Source organism: Homo sapiens, chromosome 12 (genome assembly GCF_000001405.40).
Source record: "Homo sapiens chromosome 12, GRCh38.p14 Primary Assembly".
NCBI classification, from domain to species: domain Eukaryota; kingdom Metazoa; phylum Chordata; class Mammalia; order Primates; family Hominidae; genus Homo; species Homo sapiens.
The window spans coordinates 130,385,075-130,394,470 of NC_000012.12; the positions used below are offsets into that span (position 1 = coordinate 130,385,075).

Here is a 9,396-nt window from a genome sequence, read left to right on the forward strand (position 1 = left end):
TTATACTGCAGGGCTGTTAGTCTTTGCTTTTGATGAACTATTAGTTTTCATTTCCATAGATAATGAAGTGTGTAGTTAGTTGGCTTGGTGATGAGAAAGAATGTTAATATATTTCTGCCCACTTTACCAGCCTGTCCACAGTGCTGCAGATTTATTTTCAGAAGCTTTCTTAAAGCTTGTAATTGGATGGAATTTAAAGTGTTTTGTGTAATTCAAAATTGTCTTTTAAAGTACTTTCTTCATTGTTGAAACATTATCATGAGCTACTGTTGAAATCATTATTTCATAACATCCTTACGTGGGTTTTTTAGACTTTGCTCCAGTTCATTTGCTGTGCTGCTTTCGTTCATCAAATGCCTGATTTTAGTAACTCTTTAACATAGTTACCTACTTAACTGTGAAACAAAACACCCACTCAAATATATTTTTAACTTAATGTAAGTACTGCTTTAATATATGATGCAGTTTAACCTGTTTTCCTGAAGATGCGTCTATGTGAACGGCTTATAGATGTTTCATTGGCTGCGAAGTTCTCATGTTCCACACCTCAGGGCAGTTGCATGCACATTCAGAGATGATAAGAACTTATTATTTCAGCTTTCCGGATCAGTTTGAGGAGTGTCTTGAGATTTTAAGGCAAAACAGACATGTTTGTTATTTGACATTTGCACTGAAATCTGTGGCTCGGGGCTTTCTGGATACAGTGATGTCCCAAAAATTCAGAAACTGGGTATTAAAGCTGTTGAAAAATGTTACTTCTCCTCCCTTCCCTCCAATTTTAAATTTATGCCTATCAAAAGTCATGCTCTTTTTACCAGGTGACTGAAATGATATTTAAGTTGCAAATCTGGCCTTAAAAACATATCAGTCCTTTACTTGTCTATCTTAATAGATGTCTGTTTTTCAAATGAAACTTTCTGAAGCTCCTTGCTGCATGTTCTTCTGAATCTCCCTGTGCAGGTCTGTCCAAAGACCTAACCCACCGCCATCAGTACCACACATGCTGTGGTTTGGGAATGTTGTGGTTTGCTTCAGACTTTGTCTCTGATCCTCTTATTTGGATGCCATGGGAGAAGTTAAGACAGGAATAAGTAGATTGTTTGTTTCTTTTTTCATTTTTACTTTTAGAAAGGCTAAGATGCTCAGAATTGGAGCTGTCATAATCCTTGTTTTACAAGAGTTTATCATTGACCCCTGCATATCTTTTATTTTCCTTATTAATAAGGAAATGATAATAAGGAAATAATTATCCTTAATAATAAGCCCCCTTGAGCCCATCTCCCAATCCTGGAACTAAACCATGGCAATAGCCACCGTTCACCCATGCACACCACCCCTTCCTGTCTCCATTCACCCATGCACACTACCCCTTCCTGTCTCCATTCACCCATGCACACTACCCCTTCCTGTCTCCATTCACCCATGCACACTACCCCCTTCCTGTCTGCATTCACCCATGCACACCACCCCTTCCTGTCTCCATTCACCCATGCACACCACCCCTTCCTGTCTCCATTCACCCATGCACACCACCCCCTTCCTGTCTCCATTCACCCATGCACACCACCCCCTTCCTGTCTCCATTCACCCATGCACACCACCCCCTTCCTGTCTCCATTCACCCATGCACACCACCCCCTTCCTGTCTCCATTCACCCATGCACACCACCCCCTTCCTGTCTCCATTCACCCATGCACACCACCCCCTTCCTGTCTCCATTCACCCATGCACACCACCCCTTCCTGTCTCCATTCACCCATGCACACCACCCCTTCCTGTCTCCATTCACCCATGCACACCACCCCTTCCTGTCTCCATTCACCCATGCACACCACCCCCTTCCTGTCTCCATTCACCCATGCACACCACCCCCTTCCTGTCTCCATTCACCCATGCACACCACCCCCTTCCTGTCTCCATTCACCCATGCACACCACCCCCTTCCTGTCTCCATTCACCCATGCACACCACCCCTTCCTGTCTCCATTCACCCATGCACACCACCCCTTCCTGTCTCCATTCACCCATGCACACCACCCCTTCCTGTCTCCATTCACCCATGCACACCACCCCCTTCCTGTCTCCATTCACCCATGCACACCACCCCCTTCCTGTCTCCATTCACCCATGCACACCACCCCTTCCTGTCTCCATTCACCCATGCCCACCACCCCCTTCCTGTCTCCATTCACCCATGCACACCACCCCTTCCTGTCTCCATTCACCCATGCACACCACCCCTTCCTGTCTCCATTCACCCATGCCCACCACCCCCTTCCTGTCTCCATTCACCCATGCACACCACCCCCTTCCTGTCTCCATTCACCCATGCACACCACCCCCTTCCTGTCTCCATTCACCCATGCACACCACCCCTTCCTGTCTCCATTCACCCATGCCCACCACCCCCTTCCTGTCTCCATTCACCCATGCACACCTCCCCTTCCTGTCTCCATTCACCCATGCACACCACCCCTTCCTGTCTCCATTCACCCATGCACACTACCCCCTTCCTGTCTCCATTCACCCATGCACACTACCCCTTCCTGTCTCCATTCACCCATGCACACCACCCCTTCCTGTCTCCATTCACCCATGCACACCACCCCCTTCCTGTCTCCATTCACCCATGCACACCACCCCTTCCTGTCTCCTGACCTCTCTGCTGCCAAAGTGGATGCTGTTGAAATTATCATTCCCTTGCCTGTTGAAAAAGTTTTAACAAATGTACATGGGTCAGTATTAATTACTATTTATTTTTAGTTGGTTTTGAACTTAATAAAATTTACAGCATATCCTTGTCCAAATTTGCCAGTTTTTCTTTTATAGACAGAGTTTTCTGTGTTTTAAAACTTTTGCTCTAACCCAAAGTCAGAAATATGTTCATCTGTATTTTCCTAGAAGTTTATAACTTTAAATCTCTAGAGTAGAGCGAGTTGATTTTTGCATGGTCTAAAATAAGGGAACAATTTCCCTTTTCTCCATATGGAATGCATAGTCGTTTTCCACCTCCATGTCCCTTTCCTGAAGAATGTCTTCTTTTCATTTTGGTTTTTCTTTTTGAGTCTCGCTCTGTCACCCAGGCTGAACTGCAATGGCACAATCATAGTTTGCTGCAGCCTCAAACTCCTGGGCTCAGGTGATCCTCCTGCCTCAGCCTCCCGAGTAGCTGGGACTCCAGGCATGCACCACCTTGCCTGGCTTCTTTTTTTCCACTGATCTTCCATTTAAACCTCACTCACACATCACAGCCCCATAAATGTGAAGGGCCATTTGTCATTGATCAGTTAGTTGATCTATCCCAGTATCAGCATCCCATTGTTTTAATTACTATACTTACCTACATCCTGATGTCTGGTAGGACACTTTCCTTTATGATTCCAAATGGATTTTAGAATATATTTGTAACATTCATGAAAAGTTTAAGATTTTATTAAATTGCATAGAATCAATAGGAATATGTAGGGAGAGTAAACAATCTTTACGATTTTAGGTTTTACCATCCTCCAAATGGCTTATTATCCCATTTACTTGAGTTTTAAAATGTCTTTCATCATAAAGTTTCATAATTTTCTGTGTACTGATATTGTACATTTTTGTTTGATTTATTCCTAAGTGCTTTTAGAGTTGCCATTGTAAATGTTTTAAGGATTATATTTTCTAATTTTTACAAGTATATGTAATTGAGCTTTTTAATATTGATCTTACATCTAGCTGCTTTAATACACTTTTATTTCTAATGATTTGCCTGTAGTATTTTGTGTTTTCTATGTAGGCAGTTGTATCCTCTGCAAACAATGATAATTCTGTTTTCTTCTTTCCAATCTTTATGCTTTCACTTTATTAAATTTTCTCCATTTAAGATTACATCCATTATAGGATTTTTATAAACACCTTTTACCAGGTTAACAATTTATTCATAGCTTTCTAAGAGCTTTCAAAGGCATTTCTGTTGAGTTTTTTTAGTTTTTCTATATCTATTGAGATGATAATATGGTTTTTATCTTTTATTCTGTTAACATAGTTCATGTTAGTTTAAGATTTTCTCAGATTCAATCATTCTTGCATTCCTGAGATAAACTAACTTGGTTCTTTTTTTTAAATATACCATTGGCTTTTGTTTGCTAACATTTTGTTTAGAGTGTTTACACTTACATTCATGATGAAATGGGCTTATAATTTTTTCATTTCCTTACTATCTTTGGTTTTGTATCCAGGTATACACTTCTCTTAAAATGTCTTGAAGGGTGTTGTCTTTTTATTTTTTGGAAGGGTTTATATAAGATTGGGGTGATCTGAGTATTTGGTAGGATTCTTTTTGTTAAACTCTCTAGGCCTGAAGTTTTTCTTATGGAAAAAAATTTAACTATTACTTTGGTTTCATTTGTACTTATCATTTTTTTAAGCTTTCAATTTTTTATTAATCAGTGTCATTATTTTACACTTTTTCCAGGCATTTGTCTATTTTTTTCTGGGTTTTCTAATTTATTAATAGAGAGTTGATAATACTTCATCTTTATAAAATCGGCTGTATGATTATGTTCTTTTTAATTTAAAAGTATTATTAACATCTTCTGTTTGTTGTGATCAGCCTTTCCAGCTGTATTTCCTTTAGTCTAGTTCAAAGTTAGTTCACATCAACTTCGTATTGTTGTTTTCTGTGTCACTGGCTTCTACTCTTTATCTCTTTTCTTCAGTTATCTTTTCTTCCTATCTAACATCTTAAGTTCATTAGTGTGTCTTTTCTCGTATAAAGTTATAAATTTCCCTTGAAGCATTGCTTTCCCTGCATCCTGCAAGCTTGTCGTGCTTTCATTGTAATCCAGCTCTCTCTCTCTATAGCTGATACACGGGTTCTTTAGAAGTGTATTTTATAAAATTTCTAAGTTAGTGCCATTTGATAATTTAACTTCCACTTAGTAGCCAGGGTTAATTTACCATGTTGTTGGAAACCAGAGCTCCTAACATGAACCCCAAGTTTTTAAAAAATAGTAACCAAGCTTAGTTGTGATTTTCTGGTGTATTGTTCAATCTAATCAGCACTGTGATTAGTATTTTAGTTTTGTAACAAGTTTTTTTCTGTTACTCAGCTTCGTACTCTTAGTACTGCAGATAGAATAGGTATTTTAATCTTTTCTGATGTCTTCATTTCCAGGTTTTGGAATGTAATACATTTGAAAATAGTGCTGTGAGACAGTGGTCCACTGTCTTGTGTTTCTACCTGTCTGGTGAGAAGCAGTACTGACTACCTTTGTCCAGATGATGTTTGTGAGGTTGTTTGTACAGCAGACTGCCCCAGAAGGTAGAGATGGTGTCTCCCTTCAGAGCAGAGGGCAGGCATGCTTACAGGCCAGCGTCATAAAAATAATATCTTGCTTCAGGGCAAAAGTCAGACAAGGTTACTGCCCATTATAAAGGACTCCGGGGTCCCTCAGCCCAGGTTTCCCCTGCTCCAATTCAGCCACCTGTGTGTGTGTGGCATCACTGGTCCCGTTCACTTTGCTCCTTTGGAATTAGAGCTTGGGCAATGGGTACCAGTTATACTCTTTTTGCTTCTGACCACATCTTCTGTCTCTGACTCAAGGATCTCATGTCTTGTTTCCTACCCCTTACTCTGAAGTCATTTGTCATAGACCTTGTTTGGTTTGTTCCCTCTCTTTCTGCTCCTCTTCCCCTCCCTCCCTTTCACCCTTTCTTTTTGTTGTTTTCTTTCTCTCCTCTCAAACAGGTGAGGGCTGTATGCGGCCCACCCATCACTGGGCTAGACGGTGGGCTGGCTTGGCCTGGTCGTTGTCTCTCACCTGCTGGGCAGCTTCTTCTCCAGGACCGGTGCCTGCACAACTTACCTGGTCCCTGTCTCACTGCTTTGAAGCCTCCTGCCTTCCCCACATAGTTCTCTGTGCACTGGCACATATGGAAAATCAGAGTCCCAGCAGGTGCTGTCCCCGGGGCCCTCGCCCTCTTTCCCCTCTTCTGTCGTGTGGATCGCACTCCAGGGCTGTGTCCCTAGAATGGCTGTGGGCGTCTCACTGTTCTCTCCCTGCTTCCTACTAAGTTCCTCAGGAGTTGCTGATTTGGATGAGGGACAACCAGCAGCACATGGGCCTGAGGAAGAGGAAGGGCTGCTGAGCCCCGGCTTCTCGCCAAGGTGAGGCCGCCTGCCTTCTCACCGTCTCCGCTTCGGAAACAATGTCTTCAGGAACAACGCGGGTGAGACAGCGCTGGAAATTCTCGCTGGGGCCGTGCTCTCTCTCCTTTTCCCTCACAGTGTGTGGAGATTACGCCCCAAATCTGACGCAAGTCCAGCCATCTCTACAAGGATTTTATTGGAAAATTAGAGGCAGCTGTTTTGGTGACTGCTCATCAAATGCTATCAGAAGGCAGCATTGTTGTTTAACCCTTTCCTCCCCCGTCCCTTTTCCTCCTACTCTATCCCCAGAGAAGTCTTTTAAGAAGGGACTAGAAAAAAGCTTTATTATTTTCAATTTGTATGGTTACTTACATGTGTCTTCTTCTTCTGGTAACTAAATGGAATAGGGATTGTGAAGTGCGGAATGGTCACGAGGCTGGAGGCAAAGACCCCAGCAGAATGGTAGGGAGGCTGGAGGCAGACACCAGCTGTGGTAGATGAGGCCAAGCCAGCAGAGAGGGTCTGAGTGTCAGAGAAAATGGAGAAGGGCCAGAGAGGGGTGAGGATGCAGACAGGCCACCTGCGACACCCATGGGGGCATGCGTAAGGGGTCCTTGAACCTTAACAGAGATGCTGCTCCTGATAAGGGCCTGTGACCACGAGAGCCTTTCCCCCTAGTCACCGTCCTCACATGCGTGCGTCAGTGACCTGGTGAATATTCAATGTGATGACCCGGTCACTGTCATCACGTGTGTCCATCAGTTACCTGGTGAATACTGAATGTTGTGATGACCCAGTCACCGTCATCACGTGTGTGCGTCAGTTACCTGGTGAATATTGAATGTTGTGATGACCCGGTCACCGTCATCACGTGGATGCATCAGTTACCCAGTGAATATTGAACGTTGTGATGACCCGGTCACCGTCATCACGTGTCCGTCAGTTACCTGGTGAATATTGAATGTTGTGATGACCCGGTCACCGTCATCACGTGGATGCATCAGTTACCCAGTGAATATTGAACGTTGTGATGACCCGGTCACCGTCATCACGTGTCCGTCAGTTACCTGGTGAATATTGAACGTTGTGATGACCCGGTCACCGTCATCATGTGTCCGTCAGTTACCTGGTGAATATTGAATGTTGTGATGACCCGGTCACCGTCATCACATGTGTCCGTCAGTTACCTGGTGAATATTGAATGTTGTGAGGACCCGGTCACCGTCATCACGTGTCTGTCAGTTACCTGGTGAATATTGAATGTTGTGATGACCCGGTCACCGTCATCACGTGTCCGTCAGTTACCTGTTGAATATTGAATATTGTGATGACCCAGTCACCATCATCACGTGTGTCTGTCAGTTACCTGGTGAATATTGAATGTTGTGAGGACCCGGTCACCGTCATCACGTGTCTGTCAGTTACCTGGTGAATATTGAATGTTGTGATGACCCGGTCACCGTCATCACGTGTCTGTCAGTTACCTGGTGAATATTGAATGTTGTGATGACCCGGTCACCGTCATCACGTGTGTCCGTCAGTTACCTGGTGAATATTGAATGTTGTGAGGACCCAGTCACCGTCATCACGTGTGTCCGTCAGTTACCTGGTGAGTATTGAATGTTGTGATGACCCGGTCACCGTCATCACGTGTGTCCGTCAGTTACCTGGTGAGTATTGAATGTTGTGATGACCCGGTCACCGTCATCACGTGTCTGTCAGTTACCTGGTGAGTATTGAATGTTGTGATGACCCAGTCACCGTCATCACGTGTGTGCGTCAGTTACCTGGTGAGTATTGAATGTTGTGATGACCCGGTCACCGTCATCACGTGTGTCCGTCAGTTACCTGGTGCATATTGAATGTTGTGATGACCCAGTCACCGTCATCACGTGTGTCCGTCAGTTACCTGGTGAATATTGAATGTTGTGATGACCCGGTCACCATCATCACGTGTGTCCGTCAGTTACCTGGTGAGTATTGAATGTTGTGATGACCCGGTCACCGTCATCATGTGTGTCTGTCAGTTACCTGGTGAGTATTGAATGTTGTGATGACCCGGTCACCGTCATCACATGTGTGCGTCAGTTACCTGGTGAATATTGAATGTTGTGATGACCCGGTCACCATCATCACGTGTGTCCGTCAGTTACCTGGTGCATATTGAATGTTGTGATGACCCAGTCACCGTCATCACGTGGGTGCGTCAGTTACCTGGTGAATACTGAATGTTGTGATGACCCGGTCACTGTCATCACGTGTCCGTCAGTTACCTGGTGAATACTGAATGTGGTGATGACCCAGTCACCGTCATCACGTGGGTGCATCAGTTCTGGTGAATACTGAATGTTGTGATGACCCAGTCACCATCCTCACGTGTGTGTGTCAGTTACCTGGTGAATGTTGAATCCTGTGATGAATAGCTATGATTTCACTAGACCGGTATTGGATTTTTTTGTGAATTTACCACTTTTCACTATTATAATAATGTGATACATTTCTTAGTTCTTAAATCCTTGCCTAGATATCTCTTTTCAGTTGGATTCCTAGAAATGAGATTCAGTTAAAGGACATAAACACACACGTTCAAGGCTTTAGAAAGTCACTTGGCCAAGTGCGTAAGACACACGATAGAGACTGCAGCCCCCACGGCAGGAGCTCCCATCCTCCCCAATATCAGCGGTTTCATGTTTGGCTTTTGGGTAACTTTGGAGCAGAAAAATTTTGCATTATTAGTTTTTATTTCTTCAGCTAGTGAAGTTGGGCATTTTGTGTTTGCTGTATGTATTTTACGGATTCCTTATTGACGTCTTTGGGGTAAGGTTCTAAAGGTAGAGAAGGCCCCTACCATGCATGTGGGTGGAAAGCCTGTACCTGGGCCTTCTCGGCACTCTCTCTGCATAGCTCCTCCTGCTCCATGGAGTATTTCCACATAGGGTCGGATTTCTTTCGTATTCTTAATTTCACTTTGACACTTGATTCATCCTCTTTTTTAGAGACTTTGGTTATTGTTGTTCTACCATAAGCTCCATATACTGTTTGGTAGTCCCAGGCATCAGTTCTCTGTGATGAGAGGGGCTGCAGGAAGGGGCTGCGCCAGCTGGCAGCACAAGGGCCTGGAGTCCGACTGCAACAGTGAGCTTGCACGCGGAGGTGCACGGAGCCAGCCAGGGGATAGCTAGGTATTTTTTCTTTACCCATATGAAAGAGCACTTCACATAAAACGGTTTTCTTTTCAAAATTAAAAATGTTTAGAAGTATATCT

General features: G+C 43.9%; 1 protein-coding gene across 1 annotated transcript in view, besides 4 other annotated features; it reads left to right on the plus strand.

Moving 5' to 3' along the window:
* PIWIL1 (piwi like RNA-mediated gene silencing 1) overlaps positions 1-9,396 on the plus strand; it is an 88,374-nt gene that overhangs the window by 47,188 nt on the left and 31,790 nt on the right. The window lies entirely within an intron of this gene.
* Positions 6,587-7,087: an enhancer, noted in NCBI's record as "H3K27ac hESC enhancer chr12:130876206-130876706 (GRCh37/hg19 assembly coordinates)". NCBI's record gives its function as "activates a minimal SCP1, AML or CMV promoter by ChIP-STARR-seq in naive H9 embryonic stem cells {active_cell/tissue: H9 hESC(naive)}" and the evidence as "EXISTENCE:reporter gene assay evidence [ECO:0000049][PMID:30033119]".
* Positions 7,088-7,588: an enhancer, noted in NCBI's record as "H3K27ac hESC enhancer chr12:130876707-130877207 (GRCh37/hg19 assembly coordinates)". NCBI's record gives its function as "activates a minimal SCP1, AML or CMV promoter by ChIP-STARR-seq in naive H9 embryonic stem cells {active_cell/tissue: H9 hESC(naive)}" and the evidence as "EXISTENCE:reporter gene assay evidence [ECO:0000049][PMID:30033119]".
* Positions 7,088-8,375: a biological region, named in NCBI's record as "BRD4-independent group 4 enhancer GRCh37_chr12:130876795-130877994".
* Positions 7,176-8,375: an enhancer, noted in NCBI's record as "BRD4-independent group 4 enhancer chr12:130876795-130877994 (GRCh37/hg19 assembly coordinates)". NCBI's record gives its function as "activates an origin of replication core promoter dependent on BRD2, P300/CBP, MED14 and CDK7 cofactors, and independent of BRD4, by STARR-seq in HCT116 cells {active_cell/tissue: HCT116}" and the evidence as "EXISTENCE:reporter gene assay evidence [ECO:0000049][PMID:35650434]".